Raw genomic sequence first — 23,192 nt, 5'->3', positions numbered from 1 at the left:
AATAGTAGTGGTGGGGAGCCAGGTACGGTGGCTTGTACTGTAATTCCAGCACTTTAGGAGGCTGAGGCAGGAGGATTGTTTGATCCCAGGAGATTGAGGCTGCAGTGAGCTGTGATTACACTGATTATGCCATTGTGCTCCAGCCTGGGCAACAGAGTGAGACCCTGTCTCAAAAAATTAAAGGAGGAGGGAAAGGGAAGGAAAGAATAGTAGAGAAAGTGTATATTCATTTCTTCATCTGTTTTTCTCTGGGGTTGTCTTTTGATTTATAAGAATTATTTATACATTGAGAATACTAATCTTTTGTCATACGTACTATAACTATTTCCACCCTATTTTTTGTACTTTGTGTAATACAGTCTCTAGGCTTTGCAAAAAATTTTAATTTTATGTACTTAAAAATATCGATCTCCCCTTTATAGTGTCTTTGTTTTGTGTTTTGCTTAGAAAGACTTGCCCATTTTAAGGTTTCTTTTAAAAATTCGTGTTAACACAGATAAATGAAAATGTAATGAGAGCTAGGAACATGTGATTCTGAAAAAGATTATTGAAGGGGGAGTATTTCCAGACAATAAATACCAAACTAATGTTGGCATTAAGATTGGCCGTATGTTGCTAAGTGTTGAAGTTGGGAGATGAGTATTTGAGAGTTCCTTCTATCATTACCCTAGTTTTGTACATATTTTACTTTCCATAACACAGTTTTTTTTACCAAGAAAAAAATAGCAGGGGGAAGTTATATCTTTGTCCCATTCATTCATATTCAGCAGCTATTTATTAAGCTATTCTGAACACTGGAGGGTATCATGTTAATGAATGAAAAAGGTGTTGGAATTTCTATTATGTGGGAGACAAATATTAGCATCATGGTTAAGGGCACCAACTTCTGTGTCAGACCGCCTGGCTTCTCGTCCTGACACTGCCACTTACTAGCTGGGTGATTTTGGACTTTTTAATTAAAAATATGTGTATAATAACAGCTGTCTGGAGGCTCTAGGGAGAATCTGTTTTCTTCCTTTTTGCAGCTGCTAGAGGCCACCTGCATTCCTTGGCTTATTGGCCCTTTCCTCCATATTCAAAGCTAACAATATTACCCTTCTCTGACCCTGCTTTTGTCGTCACATCTGTCTGATCTGATCCAGGGCAGGTTTTCCAGTTTTAAGGATTCCTCATTTGATTAGATTGGGCCCACTTGGATAATCCAGATTGATCTCTGCACCTCAAGGTCCTCACATCTGTGAAGTCCCTTTTGGCATAGGAGTTAACATATTCATAGGTTCCAGGGATTAGGATGTAAACATCTTTGGGTGGCCATTATTCTGCCAACCACAGATTTGAGGAGACAAAAGAAGGTGAATGTGGCTGAGTCCTTGGCAGGGAGGAGATGGGACTGGAGAGGGAGCCAGGGAGAGAGGATTCTGTAGGTCATCATAAGTTTTGAAGTTCCTCCCAACAGTAAGAGGAAGTTATGGTCAGATTTATTGCCCCAAATCTGAAATCAGCTGTTTCTCCAAGGAGCCCTGGTTAGCTGTTTTAAAGTGAAAAATGGTACTTAAAGGCCATAATCTGGCCCTAATAAGGTGCTCATTGCTGTTGGATTGGCAGTTGTTTTTAAGCCATTTCAACAGACAGAGACAGGGAAAACCATTGTTCAAGATAAAATATTTCATGAGCGCATACTGGTAACATCCAAGTCTTTTTCTGGACTACAACGTTTTTGCTTAATGTCATAGAACTTATATCCATACCCCTTTCTTCCACTCCAGAAATCTCAGTTCAGAACAACCCAGCATAATTTATTATTTGCTTTAGCCCTCACCCCACAGAGTCACTGCCACAGGGGTGTGGGGATTGGGAGGAAGACCATGGAGATAAAGTGTCATTTTTGCTACATCGTATCAAGCACACATACTGTCTACATGACTTCTCTCTTTTGCTGTTGATCTTGATTACCTGACTGAAATAGTGATTGGCAGGTTTCTCCACTGTAAAGTCACACTTTCCCCCTCCCTTCATACTGTGCTCTGAAAGGAAGTCACAGTGAGCAGCCTGCACTTCTGAAGGGAGGAGTTATTTAGGCTTCATCTCCTTAAGGGGAAAGTGTCTACATATGTTATTTGGAATTCTTCCGTGCAGGAGGGTTATCTGTTTTCTTGCATTTATTTACTCAGCCATTTATATCATTATGGACTCACAGATACTTATATTATACTTTAGGTTCTAATCCAATACTCCTTATTTTGTTCTCCAGTTGTTCCTGCTTTGGCCATTGGGAGCCTGTTCCATTGTCTCTTGTGTCCTTTCAACTTGTCCCATCTTTGTGGGCTGGTGGGTTTGTTTATTTTTGAGCACTTCCTTGCTTTCCAATATTGCTAGATGCCCTAGATTGATCTTGTGTATTTCCTGCTTCAGTCTTAGGTTCAGCCGTTTCTCTGGGGAACCCTGGTCCCCTCTGTTGGAGATGGTGTTAGAAACCACAAGCTGGATGCTGGTGTGCTCATTTCGACTGTGGTGGCATTGCTTTTAGGTCCTCTCAGCTGATGGAGCAAGGAAATGTCTGTGTGTACTGACCTGTGTATATACACATATCACTAAATACTTCTGTATGGAACCATTTGTTTCTGTGAGTCCACACTGGTGTCTCCAGCCCTAATCCTTTACCCCGTGGATCACTCTTGCGTTTTCCCTGCTGTCTCTCACCTCCCATTCCAACAGTGAGAAACGTGGCTCCCATTGCCTGTGGCACATTTGCCTACTTGTTCAGTACATATGTGTGTATCACAGTGTTGGAATTGCCATCTCGCCCTATGGGAACCACTTAAACAACGAGAGCCCGGTTTTTATGAATATACACAGTTCCTTTTGCCTTTAGTCTTGTAACTGTAGACTGGGCCAACAGGTGAAAGTTTCTTTGGGCAGGCTGAAATGAGATCCTACTACCTTGAGAACATCTTAACAGTCAGATCTACAGGGTGCAGATTTCATAGCTTCCCCCTGGCAGTTCTTCCATCACTTGTGAGCCCTGGCTGTTTTATTCTGCCTAAGCCAAGGCAGCCTTTGCTATCCTGACTTGACACAGAAGAGTTACTTAGTAACTGTGTTCATTTGCTAGGGCTTCCATAGCAAATTACCACAAACTGGGAAGCTTAAGACAACAAAAATTTATTCTCTGCTCACAGAATCCAAAACCAGAAATCAAGGTGCTGTCAGGGCTGCCCTCCCTCCAAAGGCTGTATGGAAAGTCCTTCCCTACCTTTTTCAGCTTCTGGCGGCTCCAGGCGTTCTGCGGCAAGTGGTCGCACACCTCCCGGCTCTGCTGTGTCTTCACATGGCCCCCTCCTCGGTGTCTGTCTTCTGTCCCTCATAAGGATATTTGCCATTGGATTCAGGGCCCGTGTAGATTGCCCAGGATGATCTCATCTCAGCTTCCCTAATTAATCACATGTGCAAAGTCCCTTTGCCGTGCGAGGTGCCATAGTCAAAAGTTCCAGGGATTAGGGCATGGACATGTTTGCTGGGGACCTTTGTTCTGTCAGCCTCACTTTGTGATGCAGCAGCAGTCGCAGGATCAGAGCAGATCCCCAGGCATTTTTGGCAGAGTAAGACCAGGTGCCAATCCCCGAGGTGTGTTTCTGCTGCTCTTATACACCGAGGCAGACCCATCAGGTCTAGACCCAGCAGGCCCCTCTTTCCTCAGCGCTGAAGGGAGGGGGCTTTGGGCTGACAGGAGACCTAAGTTCCACGTGTGAATTCCATCAGCAGAACGGTGCTCAGAACCTTCTGATTCACTCTGTAGGGGCAGAAAGGGGGTGATCCCTCTCTACCCTGTCATAAGGGTCATGGCTGACACCCCAATGACAAAGATTAACAATAGAAAAGCAAAACGTGTTCAATCATAGTTTTAAATGACATAGGAGCTTTCAGAATGAAGACCCAGAGACCCAGGGTGAACTCTCCAGATTTTGCTTAGATGTGAAGAAGCACAGACCGCCATGTGGAAATTCATTTGGAAAAAAGGGTGTGAGCTGATGGAAATAGACCGAGTAGGGAAGCCCAGCAAGGCCTGTCTCCTCAGGTTCTTCTTGGCCTCTCTGTTGTAGCATTTCTTCCTTCCAGGAATGGGGTAGGACCCTCTGGAATGAGGGTCTCATTGTCCAAGGTCTTTATGGCCAGCTGTTATACAGAAAGGCATGGGGAAGGCTAGAGAGTAGTATTTTTAGGTTTTATGGCTGGCTTTGGGGAAAGGGGTTCTGGTTCCTGTCACCTGCACTGGGGAAGAGAAGTTCTGGATCCTGTGGTTTGTCTTGGGGGAGGATGAGAGGGGCAAGACACACGCAGGAGAAAGTCAGAGAGACTGAGCTGCTGAACCCCTCAACTCCTAGGCCCTCCTCTCCCCACAGCTGTGGGTACTCCTGCCTCCGTACCCTGGGGGTGGTTTTGCTGCAGTTGCTCTTTTATTTGAATTTCATGTTATTTTGTCTTGCATAATTAATTGTTTTTGCATGCTAGCCTAAACACTGCAGGGCTGTGAGCTCTGATTGGGTGAGAACCATGCCTTCCTCATTCGGAGTCCGCCATCATGCCTTCCACATAGTGGGCACCCAGTAAGAAAGAACTCATTTCCAGCTAGTCGAGAGTGTTTTTACAGAACTGATGTTCTGAGTCAGGCCAGAGTAAATTAGAGTAAGGAAGAGTATATGCGGGAATACTCCCCATATTATGCTGTGTTCCTGTCCATTTTTCAAATGACCACATTTACTTTTCAAGCTTTTGAGTGTTAATTACCTCTTCCTGCTGTTGTCATCTGTACTTGGGAGTACGAGGCAGGTAAGTTAAAGAAAATTAATATTTTTACATCTCATGATGGTTTTATTAACTTTCCAGCATTAAATGAGGTTTGAAAAGTGTTCTTTGAGCCATTATTGAAAATAATCATAACTGCCTGCTTTGAATTACTCTTCCTCCCTTGATTTAGTTTTCTGCAAAGTTAGATCCAGATTATAAAAGCCTAATAAAAACTTATAAGAGGAGATTAGTATATCTCATAAATGAACAAAGAATGGTTTGACGGCATTGGAGGGAACATTGACGAAGTCTAAGTCATGGTTAACGTGGTAATTTTAGGAAGAATTGTGAACAGCAGGATCTTTTACAACAGAAGTCAAGTAGACTCACAGGTAAGCCAGCAGAACCAGGGTTCCGGGGCTTAAGATCAGCTGGGATATAAATGAATGTACTGACTGTGGGAGCTTGCCAGAAGCTCGGTTACCTGCCTCTCACTGGTTTTCTCGAGCCTCTGTGTCACTTCCCATCTGGGCTAACTGGCAGATATCTTACGCAAATGCGACACATTCTGGACTCTCAGGTTGCGGTGTAGTGGTGGCATAAGTGGATGTTTTCATTATGTAGAATAAAAACAATATTGGCAGAATATCTATAACAAAGACATCTTGAACAAACTTGTGTCCAGGGAGGTGCTCTCTCCATTGGCAGTGTTTGAGATTAGAGCTGTAGAGGTGAAGGTAGCCACTACCGTGGGAGGAAAAGAGGAGTGCACTTGGTGTTCGGACATTTCCCTGTGGACGCCCAGATGCCAGTATCGCCTTATCAAATGAATGGTTTTCAGAGTCAACTTTGTGATCAGGGCTCTCTTAGAAAACATCCATTTCCCTTTTCTATCTTTCCCTTCTGATATTTTAGTTGTGCCTGAGTAAATAACGAACCCCTGGTGAAGAAAGGCAAGTGAAAATATCATTCCCACCCTTTATTCATAACAATTAGGTACAAATTGGCCTTGAATTTGGTTCCTGCAGGGATAGAGACACATCCCAGTTGATGAACCCTTCTTCCCTCCCTGCTGCCCTCCCTCCTTTCCTTCTCCCCTTCATCCCTCCCTACTTTCCTTCTCCCCTTTCTCTCTTTTTTTTCCCTTTTCAGCATTTTACTGTGAACATTTCCAGACATACTCAAAAGTACAGTATAGTAACCCTCATGTGCCACCCACCCGGGATCAGAGATCACTGCACCATACTGGCTTTGCCATGCTTGTTCCACGTGCCCTCCTCCCTTTGTGTTTTGGACTTTTGTTTGCTTGTTTCTAGAGTTTTGAAGCAAATGCCAGAAATCATGTCATTTCACCCCCAAATATTTTATTATGAATTTTGAGGGTTTTTTACATAAATATAATTCTGTCCAACAATGAAAAAATATTCCTTAACATCTTTTAATATTTTATCCCAATTTCCTTTCTTTTTCTTTTTATTTATTTATTTATTTATTTATTTATTTATTTTTGAGATGGAGTCTCGCTCTTGTCACCCAGGATGGGGTGCAATGGCGTGATCCTGGCTCACTGCAACCTCTGCCTCTTGGGTTCAAGTGATTCTCCTGCCTTAGCCTCCCGAGTAGCTGGGATTACAGGCACCCACCACCACGCCTGGCTAATTTTTGTATTTATAGTAGAGATGGGGTTTCACCATGTTGGCCAGGCTGGTCTTGAACTCCTGACCTCAGATGATCCGCCGTCCTCAGCCTCCCAAAGTGCTGGGATTACAGGTGTGAGCCACTGCCCGGCCTATTTTTCTAAAACAAGGTCTGTACAGTTGGTTTATTCAAGTCAGAATTTTTAAATCCCATCTATTGTATTTGGTTTATGTATCTCTTGTCTCTTTTAAAAATAATTTTGTATGCCAGGCATTAATTTGATTCAGAGTGTTCTTATTCTTTTACCTTTCATTTTTAAACTGTTTTAGAGTAGTTGCATGCTCTCATGCTTTCATTCATTATTATTAAGTTTACAGTAAAACCAACTTGTTTGTACAATGTGAATAGCTTTAAAATGTGTGGATTCTTGTACTGGCCATCACCAACGGTATACAGAGCAGTCCCATCACCAAAAAGCCAGGAAACAAAACAAACCCTCCCTCATTCTGCCCCTTTGTAGTCTAACCCACCCCTTCCTCAAACCCTGACAGCTTTGATTTGTTCATCTTCGTATGTTGTGCCTTTTCCAGAATGTCATGTAAATGAAATGATATAATATGCAACCTTTGAGGCTGATTTTTCACTTCGACGACAACTTTGAGATTTGTTTGTGTGTATGTCCTTTCTTATCGCCATCGTCTGGATGTACTGCATTGTATGTATCCATTCACAGTGGAGGGCCATTTGGATTATTTACAGTTTTTGGTGATTTTGAATACAGCTGCTGTAAGCACTTATATACAGGTTTTTATCTGAAGAAAAGTTTTCATCTTTCTAGGGTAGATTCCTAGGAGTGCAATTGCTGGGTCATAATTTTGTAAGAAAGTTCTAGATTTAATTTTATAAGACACTTTCCACCATGCCTGTACTGCTTTGCATTCCCACCCGCAATGGTGAGAGTTCCAGTTGTTTCACATCCTTCTCAGCATCTCATGTTATCAATTTGGTGTTTCTTTATTTGAGCCATCCTAATAGATGTGTTATTTTTATTAGGTTTTTGAGATTACAAAAATTTGTTTTTAATAATTCTCTTACAAGTTATTGGATTAAATTCATATACCTGTTTTCAAAATAAATATTGGTTTTCTGATTTTTTACATTGAAATATGGTAAGTATACTGAAAAAGCCAGGATATTATATAGATAAGAGTCATTCTCAAATCTCACTAATTAAGAGATTATATTTGGCAAAGTATTACAAAATAATAACTGAATTCACAATGCATTTTGCAATGCAAGATCCATTCATTATATGCATTTCATTCCTGAGCATCTCATTCCTGTTTGACCATTAGTAGTAGTAACTAGTAGTGCCATGTTTGCTTTTGCCATCAGTTTTATGCTAGATTGGATCGGTCGATGAATAGTTGATTACATGAGAACAAACTGGATGTCAGCAGAGAGTAATTTGTTTGAATGCCCTTTAACTGTAGCAAACACCATTGTAGTGTTTGTTTGTTTGTTTAGACAGGGTCTCACTATGTCACCCAGGCTGGAGTGCAATGGCATAGTCACAGCTCACAGCAGCCTCGACCTCCTGGGCTCAAGTGATCCTCCTGCCTCAGCCTCCCAAGTAGCTGGGACCACAGTTGTGCACCACCTACATCCTGCTAACTTAAATTTTTTGTAGAGATGGAGCCTTGCTATGTTGCCTGGGCTGATCCCATCATAGTTTTTTTAATGGGCTGCTCCAGTGTGTCTGAAGCAGTAGTCAAAGTTTGCATTTGAATACCTTTTTCCTTATTAAAACATGGTGAGCTCAAAGAAGAAAACAAGTCGAAATTTGTGAAACAAAAATCATGCATCTATCTCTTTGTCTGATTTAGGAACAGTAGTCTCTGATCACTATTGGTTGAAAGTCTGGAGTTGACTCCTAGATTAGTTACTAAAATGCCACTGTTAATGTTTGTCATCTCTCACTCCTCCCCTACGATGAAACTGGGAAAGTCTCTGGGTACACAGGTCATTGCTAATGGAGGTCCTTCTGTAAATTCAAACCTCACCCGTTAACTGCTATGGTATAGGCTCTCAGTTGGTGGTAGTATTTAAAAGACACAGAACGAAGATTCCTGTCATCTACTTGGAAGAACGTTAGCATATAGGTTTTATTTTGTGACTGGAATCTCCCTGTTTTTCCTTCTGAAAAGTTGCTGGAGGGTTCGACCTATTGGCAGACCTTCCTTTCTAATATAGGGACATCACAAAGGAAAAACTGAGCTGACAAAGGAAGACTGAGGACAGACATCAGATGGGCTCTTGAGGTTGCTGTGGCTGAAACCTCAGAGGCCAAGTGTAGGGAAGATTTGGTTTCAAGTGTTAAATTGGATAGATTTCTGTCTCTTTTTTTTTTAATACACATAAGTATGATTTATATATTATATGATATTCTGGAGGAAGCAGTTCTGTTAATTTCTTTTTATTAGTTCAGCTTTTATTTTAGATACAGGAGGTACCTGTGCAGGTTTTTTACAGAGCATATTGTACCCAGGTAGTGAACATAGTACTCAGTGGGTCATTTTCAACCCCTGCCTCCCTCCGTTCTCTGCTCTAGTATCTTCACTGGCTCTTGCTCCCAGGTTTATGTCCATGTGTGCTCAGTGTTTAGCTCCCATTTATAAGTGAGAACGTGGTATTTGGTTTTCTTTCTTTTTTGAGATGGGGTCTCGCTCTGTTGCCCATGCTGGAGTGCAGTGGTGCAATCTCAGCTCACTGCAACCTCTGCCTCCCAGGTTCAATCGATTCTTCTGCCTCAGCCTCTTGAGTAGCTAGAACTACAGGTGTGCACCACCACACCCAGCTAATTTTTGTATTTTTAGTAGAGACAGGGTTTTGCCATGTTGTCCAGGCTGGTCTCAAACTCCTGACATCAAGTGATTCCACCGGCCTCAGCCTCCCAAAAAGTGCTGGGATTACAGGTATGAGCCACCACGCCCGGCCAGGTTTTCTGCTCCCGTGTTAATTCAGTTAAGCTTATGGCTTCCAGCTGTATCCATGTTGCTGCAAAGGACATGATTTCTTTCTGTTTTATGACTGTAGTAGTCCATGGTGTATATGTGCCACATTTTTTGTCCAATCCATTGTTGATGGACACCTATGTTGGTTCCATGTCTTTGCTGTTGTGAATAGTACAGCAATGAACATATGAGTGCATGTGTCTTTTTGGTAGAATGATCTATTTTCCTTTGGATGTGTACCCAGTAATGGGATTGCTAGGTAGGTCTGTTTTAAGTTCTCTGAAAACTCCAAACTGCTTTCCACAGTAGCTGAACTAATTGACATTTCCACAGTGTATAATCATTCCCTTTTCTCCACAGCCTCGCCAGCATGTTTTTTTTTTTTTTTTGACTTTTTGATAATGCCATCTTGACAGGTGTGAGATGGTATCTCATTGTGGTTTTGATTTTCATTTCTCTGATTAGTGAAGATGAGCTTTTTTGGGTATGTTTGTTGGCCACTTGTGTGTCTTCTTTTCAGAAGTGTCTGTTCATGTCCTTTGCCCATTTTTAATGGGTTTATTTGTTTTTTGCTTGTTGATCCTGTGTTCGAGTAGTTTTTGTTTTAAAACTAACATATTAGGCCAAGCACAGTGGCCCTCACCTGTAATCCTAGCATTTTAGGAGGCTGAGGCGTGTGGATTGCTTGAGCCCAGGAGTTTGAGACCAGCCTAGGAAACATACTGAGACCCCATCTCTCAAAACAAACAAATAAAGAACCTAACATATTAATTGACCATTACATCTGTTGGGATTGGAATAAATCAGAAATAGTAAAGGATTAGTAAGGGTGTTACATCCATTGGACTCAAGTCTTTGTTTTGTTTAAAAAGTTATATATGGGTCTCTTTTAAACTTCTGGCTTATTGAGATTGTTTCAATGAAGTCACATATATGCACATATATGCACATATTTCATGGGATGGGGGAAGGGGTAATGGAAGAGTATTGGGCCTTAGTCCAGGGTGTTTAGAATACCAGACTAATATAGCTGCTGCCCCCTGGTGGCAGTGTAGTAAACAGTGACGTTCAAAGGTAAGGACTTGTGGAGAGCTAAGTCCAGTGGACTGTGGGTGTCAAGAGGATTGTAGAGGAAACTGGGAAGATGCCGCTTCTCTCCCACTCTTCTTGTGATTGCTACCTATATGGTCTTAGAAAAATCTTTTAGTTGGATTGAAGTGTAGATTTCATATTCAACTTTAAAATGTACTTTCTAAACTTTTTCCAGCCTTAATACCCTATGCTTCTCCAAGGGTATTAATAAAAGATGCCATTATATAGCAAAAGATGTCAAGTTCTATTTTTTTCCTTTAGCAGCTGTATCCTAAGAAACCCCAGATATTCGTTCAGGAAAGCAAGTTCTAGAGTACACCCTGAAGCTAGATACAGCTACAGCTCTGGGCAGCAAAATGCATAAATGTACCTGCAGCACAGTTCATCATTAATCAGTTTGAGGACTCTGCATTCTTATGAAAAGCTTACATCATCTGAAAAATGTTTTTTATCCTGGTGTGGTGGTGCACGCCTGTAGTCCCAGCTACTCTGGAGGCTGAGGCAGGAGGATACCTTGAGGCAAGGAGTTTGAGGCTGCAGTGCACTATGATCACACCTGTGAATAGCCACTGCACCCCAGCCTGGGCAACATAGCAAGACCCTGTCTACAAAAATAAATAAATGTTTTAAACATTAACACATAAATTTTACCATCTTAACCATTTTTAAGTGTACAGTTCAGTAGTATTAAGTATATTCACATTGTTGTGCAACCAACCTTGAGAACATTTTCATCTTTTAAAACTAAAATTCTATATCCATTAAACAACTCCCCATTTTCCCCGTCCCCCAGCTCCTGGTAATCACCATTCTGTTTCCTGTCTGTATGAATTTGACTACTCTAGGTATGTCATAAAAGTGGAATCTTACAGCATTTGTCTTTTTGTGGACTGGCTTATTTTGCTTCGCATAGTGTTCTCAAGGCTTATCCTTGTTGTAGGATGGGTCAGAATTTCCTTCCTTTCAGTCTTTTCAAGGCTCTGTAATATTCCATTGTGTGTATACCCCACATTTTGTTTATTCCTTCCTCTGTCAGTGGACACTTGGGTTGCGTCCAACCCTTGGCTGATGCTGGGAACGTGCATGAGCTATGTCATTTTTAGTATACTGTGCAGACCAATGCAGAGAAGGGCTTATACAGGTTTTTCCTGCACACAAAAGGTTAAATTTCATAATAAAGAACACCAGTCAACCATACCAGATAACTAGTGTATGGCTTTTTGTATGTTTGAGTAAGTTAAAAAAGGTTAAGACTTATTGGATACAAGATATATGCAAGGCATTATTATATCTGTGATATATTCTATTTAGTCCTTGTAGTTCTGTGATTTATCCTTCTCTCAGAGGGAGTAAGAATTATTGAGATCATGTGTGGGCCAGAATGTATATATACATACATTATCTCCATACATCAATGTTTGAGGTGGGCATTATTATCCCCATTTGTAGGGAATTGGAACTGAGGTTCACAGAGATGAAACACCCTGAACAAGGTCACACAGCTGAAACACGGCAGGGTTTTACATGACTTTGAAATGAAGTACATCTAGTTGTAAAGTGTGTCCTCTGGGCCGCGTGCAGTGGCTCATGCCTATAATCCTAGCACTTGGGGAGGCTGAAGTGGCAGGATTGCTTGAGGCTAGAAGCTTGAAACCAGCCTGGCCAAATGAGACCCCGTCTCTACAAAAATTAAAATTAAAACTAAAAAAAGAAAGTATGTTCTCTGTCTACACCACACTTTCTTCTGCTGCACAGCATACACATCTGTGTTCTGAAGGATATTAGAGCAATATCAAAGAATGGCACTTCTATATGATCATTAGAAAAACTGTAATATCTTTGCATTAAATACAGTCTTTTCAATTTTCCTTGCGAAGACACAGCATCAGTTTGGATGAGTTCATCTGAAATGTATTGCCAAGGCTTGCCTGCTGGGGGATTTTGCAAAATAAATCTCCCTACTTACAAAAGTGTGCTTCTCATGTGCCAGTTCCCATGTATCTGAGGTTATCCTCCTCGACACTGTTATCTTCCCTTTTTTCCCTTCTTTCCTTTGGATTGGCAGAGAGCTAGGACTGTTGTCACTGCTCTCTGCTTCCCTGTCTCTTTAATGCCATGGTGTTTTGGGCTGGAGCTTTGATCCATTCTGGCACTGTGTTTTCACACAGCTCAAGGGCTATAAACTGTCCTCATAGGGGGTCGTTTTCTTGGAGACTGAGCAATCTCTCGGGGAGGCCAATCACAACATTTTCTTACATATGGAATTATTAGATGAGCAAATAAGTAGCGATACATCATCTGAGCAGGCATTTAAGCCTAAGATTCCACGTTTTTGGGTATCCTTATAGCAGCACCCCAGTCTCTGTGGTACAAATTTACTGTATTAGTCTTTTCTCATACTGCTAATAAAGACATACCTGAGACTGGGTAATTTATAAAGGAAAGAGGTTTAATTGACTCATGTTCAGAATGGATGATGAGGCCTCAGGAAGCTTATAATCATGGCAGAAGGAGACATTCCTTGGGATTTTATAAACCTAGAGGATGGGTAAGGACCCAGACTGCTTCCAGAGATTCATTTGAGGTCTGATATAATTTGGCTGTGTCTCCACCCAAATCTCATCTTGAATTGTAGTTCCCATAATCCCCACATGTTGTGGGAGGGCAGGTGGACATAACTGAATCATGGCAGCGGTTCCCCCCCATCCTGTTCTTGTGATAGTGAGTTCTCATGAGATCTGATGGTTTTATAAGGGGCTTCCCCCTTCATGGGGCACTCATTTTCCTTGATGCCACCATGTGAAAAAGGACATGTTTGCTTCCCCTTCCGCCATGATTATAAGATTCCTGAGGCCTCCTCAGCTATGCTGAACACGAGTCGATTAAACCTCTTCCTTTTATAAATTACCCAGTCTCAGGTATGTCTTTATTAGCAGTATGAGAATGGACTAATACAGTAAATTTGTACCACAGAGAGTGGGGTGCTGCTATAAGGATACCCAAAAATGTGGAAACCACTTTGGAACTGGGTAACAGGCAGAGGCTGGAGCAATTTGGAGGGCTCAGAAGAAGACAGTAAAATGTGGGAAAGTTTGGAACTTCTTAGAGACTTGGAGGGCTCAGAAGACAGGAAGGTGTGGGAAAGTGTGGAACTTCCTAGAGACTTGTTGAATGACTTTGTCCAAAATGCTGATAGCAGCATGGACAATAAAGTCCAGGCTGAGGTGGTCTCAGATGGAAACGAGGAACTTGTTGGGAACTGGAGCAAAAGTCACTCTTGTTACGCTTTATCAAAGAGACTGGCGGCATTTTGCCCCTGCCCTAGAGATCTGTGGAACTTTGAACTTGAGAGAGGTGATTTAGGGTATCTGGTGGTAGAAGTTTCTAAGCAGCAAAGCATTCAAGAGGAAGCAGACCATAAAAGTTTGGAAAATGTGCAGCCTGACAATGTGATAGAAAAGAAAAACTTATTTTCTGGGGAGAAATTCAAGCCCACTGCAGAAATTTGCATAAGTAACAAAGAGCCAAATGTTAATCACCAAGACAGTGGCGAAAATGTCTCCAGGGCATATCAGAGACATTCTCAGCAGCCCCTCCCATCACAGGCCTGGAGACCTAGGAGGGAAAAATGCTTTTGTGGGCTAGGCCCAGGGCCCACATGCGCTATGCAGCCTCGGGACATGGTGCCCCCCTGCCTCCCAGTTGCTGCAGCTCCAGCTGTGGCTAAAAGGGTCCAGTGTAAAGGTCAGGCCATTGCTTCAGAGAGTACAAGCCCCAAGCCTTGGCAGCTTACACGTGGTGTTGGGCCTGTGGGTACATAGCGGTCAAGAATTGAGGTTTGGGAACCTCTGCCTAGATTTCAGAGGATGTACAGAGGCACCTGGATGTCCAGGCAGAACGATGCTGCAGGGGCAGAGCCCTCATAGAGAACCTCTGCTAGGGCAGTGCAGAAGGGAAATTTGGGGTTGAAGCCCCCACACAGAGTCCCCACTGGGGCACTGCCTAGTAGAGCTGTGGGAAAAGGGTCCTTCACACTCCAGAGTGGTGGAACCACCAATGGCTTGCACCGTGCACCTGGAAAAGCAGCAGACACTCAATGCCAGTCTGTGAAGGCAGCTGGGAGGGAGGCTGTACCCTGCAAAGCCATAGGGGCGGAGCTGCCCAAGGCCATGAGAGCCCACCTCTTGCATCAGCATGCCCTGGATGTGAAACATGGAGTCAAAGGAGATCATTTTGGAACTTTAAGATTTAATGATTGCCCTATTGGATTTCAGACTTGCATGGGGCCTGTAGCCCCTTTGTTTTGGCCAATTTATCCCATTTGGAATGGGTTTATTTATCCAATGGCTGTACCTTCATTGTATGTAAGAAGTAACTAACTTGATTTTGATTTTGTGGGCTCATGGGCAGAGGGGACTTGCTTTGTATCAGATGAGACTTTGGACTTCACTTTTGAGCTAACGCTGGAATGAGTTAAGACTGAGGGACTGTTGGGAGGGCATGATTGTGTTTTGAATTGTGAAGACATATGATTTGGGAGGGGCCAGCAGTGGGATGTTATGGTTTGGCTCATCTTAAATTGTAGTTCCAAATCTCATCTTGAATTGTAGTTCCCATAATCCTGACGTGTCATGGGAGGCACCTGGTGGAGATAATTGAATCATGGGGGATGGTTTCTCCTATCCTGTTCTCGTGATAGTGAGTTAGTTCTCACAAAATCTGATGCTTTTATAAGGGGCTTGCCCCTTCACTGGGCACTCATTCTTCTCCTTGATGCCACTGCCTTGTGAAGAAGGACATGTTTGGTTCCCCTTCTGCCATGGTTGTAAGTTTCCTGAGGCCTCCTCAGCTATGCTGAATGTAAATCAATTAAACCTCTTTCTTTTATAAATTACCCAGTCTTGGGTGTCTTTATTAGCAGCATGAGAACAGACTAATACAAGGTCTTCAGTAACCCCTGACAGCAGGATGTTGGCCAATAAATATAAAAAGTGGGATTGGTAGAAATTGCTGATTGCAACCAAATATCCATTCTCTTCTTTCTTAATTACTGGTCCTGTTTTATTCAGTGACCCATGTGCCTAGTTATGGTGAATGAGAGGTAAGCAGAAATGTGTGGGGCTTCCAGGGAGGTTTTGAAAAGGAACCCGATTCAATTGGAAGTAGGGCCCTGGTTCTTCACCTGCCCTGCCTCATGCCACCTCCTTTGAATGTGACATTATGGCTAGAGCTCCACCAGCCTTTTTTGTCTTGTGAGGGAAGATGGTGGTACCTGAGATTAGAAATTAGTTAACACATAGAAGGATCAGTCAGATACATAACTGCATTCAGGCTAGTGGGAGCCAGGTTTCCCAGTGTCAAAGAAGAGAGTTATTAATACAGAAATGCAGAAAACTGGAATGAATCCTGTGATATGCTTTGGGTTGTGTGTGTTTGTGTGAATTCATGGTTTTCAATAAGTGTAGACAGATATAGAAGTGAACATAGATGTAAAGGTGTAAAGAAGTGAATGTAAGTGTGCGTGTGTGTATGTTTATATGTGGATACAGGCATATATTCTGCTGGCGCAGGGGTTGTGGACAGATGCAGCCCAAAGACAGCACACCCTGCACCCAGATCTTGGCATCTAAATACCATTTGCTACAAGAGAACAAGAGCTCCTTGGAGAGAGGGCTGATGCCAGGGCTGGGACAGGGAAAGTCTAAGATGAGCCTGGAACATCTTGAACCAGAAAGCAATGGAATAATGAGGAAGATGGGCCAAGGGGACAGAGAAGCTTGCTGGAATTCACCCCATCTGTCCAAAAGGGGACAATGTAAGCATCAAAAGAAATAATGATAGCATTGAATATAATAGGAAACCATAAGTCCATGTAGATACAAATAAATAAATGAACAAGTGGCAGGTTTGATGGTGAATGAGATGTTGCATGGTTTCAAAATCCCTCTTCATAAAATGCTTAACTATAAAGGGCAAAAGAGTAACTTCTCTGTGGAGAAGCCTGGCAGTCACCACCTTAAGTGATCAGAGTGAATGTCATCAATAATGGAGCAAGTTGAAATCATATGGTGTCTGATAGGAGGCAGTGAGAAGAACATAGCATCATTTCGGAAAGATTCCTGCTCAAGATATACCATCCGAATCTAATCAGGAGACAGCATCAGACAAAACCAAATTCAGGGACATTCAACCAAATCAATGGCCTGCAATCTTTAAAGGATCGTGAATGCCAAAGACAGGCAGGAATTGTTCCAGATGGAAGGAGGCTAAAGGACATAGCTACATGCAATTGGGATTGTGCACTGGGCCCTTTTGCTGTAAAGCACGTTATCAGGACAGTTGGAAAAAGTTCAAACTGTCTGCGAGAAGGTGGTAAACTTAGTCACAAATGCTGATGCCCTGATGTCACAGGTTGTAGTGTAGTGAGATCAGATGTCTTTGTGGGAAACAGACATGACTGTGTTCAGGGATAAAGGGCATCAGGTTGGCAACTAACCAGTGGTTTACTCCCTGAGCAGACACTTCTTAAATACCTACCCACCCAGTTACCAGGGCTGAGAGCCGAGGAGCATGAGTTGCTGGTGCCCGGGCCCCCAGGGATCTGGTAAAGGGGACCTCGGCAGCCGCAAGGCCAGGGGCAAAGGGCAGCAGTGTCCCAGGGTCAGTTCTGCCTCTAGGGCTCACGGTGAGAGACATGGTACCAGAAGGATGGTGTTTGAAGTAACCTGGAAGCACAAGGAGGATTTTGCCAGGCAGAGTGCTGAGGAGTGAAGAGTGTGAAGGGCCTGAAAGGCAGTAGCAACCGAGAAAGCAAAGAAAGTACCACAGGCAGTGTGAGGCATGGCTGAGCGGCAACTGGCCTTTGTGAGCACGTGAAGACATTTGGATTGGCCCTCTGGACTTATCCACTGCTGAGGAACAAATCACCCCCAAAATTAGTGACTGAAAACAACAAAAATTATCCCACAGTTTCTGTGGCTCAGGATCTAAGAGTGGCTTAGCTGTGTGATTCTGACTTGGGTCTGTCACAGGCTGCACTCAGGTGCTGGCTGCACTGTGGCCTTCTCCAGGCTTGACTTGGGGAGACCTGGAGCTCACTTCCCTGACAGCTGGCATGCCTTGGTCCTTTCTGACTGTTGGTGGAGACCTCACTTCTTCTCTACGTGGCATCTCCATGGAAATGCTCATAGCATGGCAGCTGGCTTCCTTCACAGTAGGGGATCTGAGAGCGGCAGAGAGCTCCCAGGACAGAAGCCGCAGTCTTTTTATAACTGAATCCCATCACTTCCTCTGGATTGTGTTTGTTGGCTGTCAGTCACTAAACCCATGCTTGGAGGGGCAGGAATCACACAGGGACAGGGATGCCAGGCATGGGCTTGGTGGGTGCCATGTGAGAGTCTGCTTGCCACACAGAAGTCCCCACAGCTGGACAGGCAGGGGCACATCCAGGCATGCATGTTGGAGGTATCACTCTAGCTCTGAGGGGGAGCAGCAGTGAAACTATTTGGGAGAGGATCACAGAGGACAGAATTGAGTGGGGAAGAAGAAATGGGCGTCATCATCAACGTAAAACACTGCTCAAGCAGCTGGGGAGGAAAGGGGGGTTAACCTGAGTGGTTAGAAACCAGCTTCTGCAGAGATGCTTTTGCAGAATCCTTTTGCTGTGAAAGCTACAAGGCAGCGACCTCGTTTCAAACACCTGGTGTCACCAGCACCACGTTTTAAAGTTGTGAAATATCAGGGCTGTTATTTTTTCAGTTACGTCTCGTAAGCACTACTTTGCCTTGACTGTCAGGAGTCAGATGTGCAAATGAAAGCTGTTAACGTTGTCAGGTAGGTTGACTGGACCAGGCTTTAAAATACCAACTAATCCCTTTTGACACTCTGATCTTTCAGCATGATGGTTAAAGGATTGTGTCTTTCCTTTTGAAATCTCCCAGTTTTTTGAACTCTGATCTGAGCACAAATTATTTTAAAGAATGAAGTTTTCCCTGAGATTTTAGATTTTTCATCTCACCAAGCCGCTCTAAACAAGACGAACCGTGAATTCTTAGAGTAGAGCCACATACGCAGTGGGAACAAGGTCAAAGATTGGGAAGGAGGCGGCGGCCATCCCCTGTGAAATACTACAGGGAGAGCATACCAGGTCTGTATCACAACAGGCTTTTCCTTGCATCATTGTGCTTGAAGTTAAAAACAAACATCACAACCTCCCTTTAAACCTGTATGTTCCCTGGGAATAGTAGCGGTCTGGAGTGTGGTTAAAATGCTGTTTCTGGAAGGGTGACCTGGGCCTTGGGCTTCCCTCCCCCATAAAGGCCTGGCTTCTGCTGGGTTCAGGCCCAGCCCCCCCGCCCCCTGCCCGGGGCATAGAGCACTCAGAGCTGGGTACTGCATGATGCTGGTGACACCAGGTGTTGAAAGTAAAAAATGTAATTTATTTCCACACTTTTCAAATGGCCATTCCTGTGGCTTAATATTTGTACTTCGGTCGACCTTGAATCATGAAAGTAAAAACATAATGCTCTTAGAAAATGTGTACTCAGCGTTATTTAGGCAACAGTCTCGTAGTTAAATAGAATGATAAGAAATTTAAAGGGTGAATGTGTACTAAACTTGGAAGGGCTACCTGTTAGTTATTCTAAGGCTTTTTGTATTATCTTCATTTTCACATATTTTGTTTTCCTTTTTGTATAACTTGGATAATTTTTTTAAAAAAGATGTTTATACAAATCTTCAATCTTTAATACTTGGAAAATTAGCTCTTCTGGTTCTTTGAACTTGCCATGTAGGTGAAGGTTGAATGTAAGTCTTTTTTAGGAAAACCTGTGAAAATGAAGGAGTGCCCCTTCTCTGTTTTTAAAGTATACAGAGCATCATGAATCCTCTTTAATCTAAAAGTTAGTAGTTCGAGAGCATCACTGTAAAACAGATAGACCCTTCCCACAATCAATGATTTTCCCAAAGGGTAATCACCAGAATCGCCTGGAGAGCTTTGAAAAATACTGTATTTTATTTGAAATGTAGATTCCTGCCCCCAGCTCCTAAATTACTAAATCCAACTCTCTTGCGAGGGACCTAGAACATCAGCGTTGAAGCTTCACATGCATTTTGGGAACTCAACAGGCGTGGGGAGCCCCAGCCGCAGGTCCAGCCCAGGGTGGCCACAGGCACCGAGACTGCCCCAGGCTTCCCTCCACCCAGTCCCTGTCTTTTGGTTCCCAGTAGCCCACAGGCCCCCAGGGGTTCCAAATCTCTGTTCCCTGCACACGCCTGGGCTCACGCTCCTTGCCTGGAAGGCACCCACCTCCTCCTTTCCCCTCTTTCCAGCATGGTTTTTACCCTCCTCCAGGGGCAGTGCCCAACCTGTTGGGGGCTGCATCCAAGTCACCCACACAAAATTCATTCTTCTCTTTCCTGTTCCTTATGACATGCTGAACAAACCCTTCACTGTGGCATTCCACACATCATATTCTAATAGTAGATTTTATCTGTATCATCTTTTAAAGTTTAGTTTAATTAATTAATGTAAAGACAGGGTCTTAACTGTGTTGCTCAGGCTGGACTCAAACTCCTAGGCTCAAGTGATCCTCCTACCTTGGCCTCCCGAGTAGCCAGGACTACAAGCATGTGCCACCATGCCCAGCTTGGACCACTTTAAAAGATTTATTTACTTTTAATTTAGAGGTTTTTTTATTGAGATAAAATTCACAGAACAGAAAACCATTTAAAAGTGAAGGATTCCATGATTATTTAGTACATAATGTTATGTGATTACAACTTCTGTCTAGTTCCAGAACATTTTCCTCACCCCAAAAGAAAGAAACCTCTTCCACACTAAGCATCCCTCCCATTCTTCCATCCCGAGCCCCTGGCAGCCCCCATCCCCCTACCTGTCACTGTGGCTTTACCCGTGCTGGGTGTTCTGGATCAGTGGATGCATGTCACATGTGCCCCATGTGTCTGGCCCCTCTGAGTGAGGATAATATTTGCAGATTGATCGTGGGGCAGCATCCATCAGTGCATTCATTCACTAGGGTTGCTACAACCAAGTGCCACAGACCGGGTGGCTTCAACAACAGAACTTTCTCACAGTTCTAGTGGTTCAGAAGTCCAAGATCAGGGGCCGGCAGGGTTGGTTTCTCTGGAAGCCTCTGCTTGGCTTGATTTATATAAGTAAGATTGTGTGGAGTCTGCTTGCAATTCAAGGCAAGTAACGCTTTGACTTGCTTTCTTTTTTAGCACATGGCAGTGGGGGCCCAGGCAGGGGAACGGGAGCTCTTTTTTTGGGGTTGTTAGGAGTTTGAACTCTGGAGTCAAGAAACCACCCAAGTTTAAGGCTGTGCCTTTTCTTTTTTCTTTTCTTTTTTTTCTTTTTTTTTTTTTGAGACATTGTCTCGCTGTGTTGCCCAGGCTGGAGTGCAGTCGCGTGATCTCAGCTCACTGCAACCTCCGCCTCCTGGGTTCAAGTGATTCTCGTGCCTCAGCCTCCCAAGTAGCTGGGATTACCGGCATGCACCACCATGCCTGGCTAATTTTTGTATTTTTAGTAGAGACGGGGTTTTACTATGTTGGCTGGGCTGGTCTCAAACTCGTGACCTCAGGTGATCTGCCTGCCTTGGCCTCCCAAAGTGTTGGAATTACAGGCGTGAGCCACCACACCTGGCCTCATGTGCCTCTCTTACCAGTGGTGTGACTTTGGGTGAGTTGCCTGTGCTGTCTGTCCCAGTGTCCTCTGAGTGCTGTGAAGGTGGGTGAAGTATATTTGGTGAATCACAGGTACTGCGTGAGGTGCCAGGCATGATCCTTGCTGGTGCCAGGTTTGAAGAAAATGGTGTTTGTGCAAGGAAAAATTTTTTTTTCTGTGCAAAACTAAGGTGTATTTATGAAAATGGAAATCAAGTCTTAGCCCTTCACCGAGCTTAGTTGTAGAGAATATCTAGGGTAGTTTCTGTCGGGGTCCACACAGGCAGTGGACAGGGGCTTGCCGTTTTATAGAAGAATAAAATTTCACAACTTCTGTGTACTTCCAGTAATTTGAGCTTTAGGTTGAAGCTTGCGAGGTAGGCAAGGTAAGAGTTTCTGTCCCTATTTAGAGGCACCTAAACCCCAGTGAGGCAAAGTGAGTCACCCAGGAGCTGCCTGGAATCTGGTCCTTTCGAACCCACTGTTGGGCACAGCCTCCTCCGGGGCATGCAGACTCTGCCGCATGACCTTTGAGCAGAGTTAATGATTTCCTATTTGTTTTATTTCATTCAAAACAACTGTCATTGCTTGAACCCACCCATGCTGGGCACTTGTATACTCCCAGGGGATCCCACTCCCCCACTCTGGGAAGTGCCAGGGTCTCACTGGACAGAGAAGGAGATCCAGGATGAGAGGTTCAGTCATTTGCCAAGGTCGTGAGCCCCAGCCCCCCACTGAGCAGCACCTCTGCCCCTCCAGGGTCCTGGGTTGGAGGTGTGAAGGGCATCCCGGGCCCTCCCACTGCTGGGTTCTTCTAAGTACAGGAATGTCTGCTGCACACATCTTCTGAAGATAGCATTCTCTTGATCTGAGAAGGGAACCAGTACCACTTGCTGGGTGTTTAGCCAGCACTGCACATTTCAGAATCTCATCCTGGTGTTAATAGCCCCAGGTAAGACAAGGCCACATGTCCAGGAAAGCCTTCTGTGGGAAGACACTGCATTAAGATAGCTCAAAATCGGGGTGAAGAGGCAGGAGGCAGGGCTTACCATCTTCATCCATCAACTATTAACTTTATGATAGAAACCATTTCAGTGTTATTTTTGTTTGCTATGGATCTATACAGAATTGCATTATTTTAATGCTTTATTGAGAAATAATTCACATACCATACAGTTCACCACCATTACCAAGTCAGATGTAAGCAGCTCTCTGGGGCTGTTCCTAATATGGAAGTGTTGCTTATACCAGAAAATGATAACCAAAATGAAATATAACACAACGTTCAAGGAAAGCTTGTAGATAATCATTGGTAAAATAATAGCAATGGAGCTGGAAATACTGAAATGGAGAGGTTAAAATGCCCGGGGCGGGGGTATTGCTGCTTGATGAGACTTAGGAGGGCGTAGCCACAAGCTTCACCATGAATGTAGTCAGGAGCCGGGGGAAGAGGCACGTGTTCCTGGGCTGTGTGGATGAGTGGTCTAGGAGGCGTGCTTGTGATGAAATGACAGCCCACCAGCCCACTATCCCAGGCCCTGGAGGAGATGCGGGGTGCGCAGCCTGGGCTGTCAGAGATGTTCACAATTGCAAAGATTCTGACCCATATTTTGCCCCACACATCCGTCTTGCTAGAGCATGTGTCCTGGTTCTTTAGAAAATCACTCCGTTGTACTTTAGGACACCATGTCCTAGGAACACACTGACACCAAAAACCTTGGCCAAGAGTCAGAAAAACAAAGCTAGATTATGTGAGGGAATGGAAATGTCCAGAATAAAACCTGGGGAGGCTAAAGGGATCGCGTGGAGCTCAGTGACAGCAGAGCTGCAAAGCTGCAACCCTCCTCAGCCAGGAGTGGCCCCAGTGAAAGCAATGGATACAAGCCCACAGGGCACGTTCCCAGCGCAGCCCTCAGGGCCTGGGAGGGCCACACAGCTCCCACGGATGCTCACTCCCTGTCCATTCCCTGTTGGCCC

General features: G+C 43.9%; 1 protein-coding gene across 2 annotated transcripts in view; it reads left to right on the top strand.

Moving 5' to 3' along the window:
• GGACT (gamma-glutamylamine cyclotransferase) overlaps positions 1 to 23,192 on the top strand; it is a 58,610-nt gene that overhangs the window by 5,079 nt on the left and 30,339 nt on the right. The gene's annotated exons all lie outside the window — the stretch shown is intronic.

Source organism: Homo sapiens, chromosome 13 (assembly GCF_000001405.40).
Source record: "Homo sapiens chromosome 13, GRCh38.p14 Primary Assembly".
Lineage (NCBI taxonomy): Eukaryota > Metazoa > Chordata > Mammalia > Primates > Hominidae > Homo > Homo sapiens.
The sequence above is the reverse complement of the archived record's forward strand: the minus strand, read 5'-3'. Positions and strand labels throughout refer to the sequence as shown.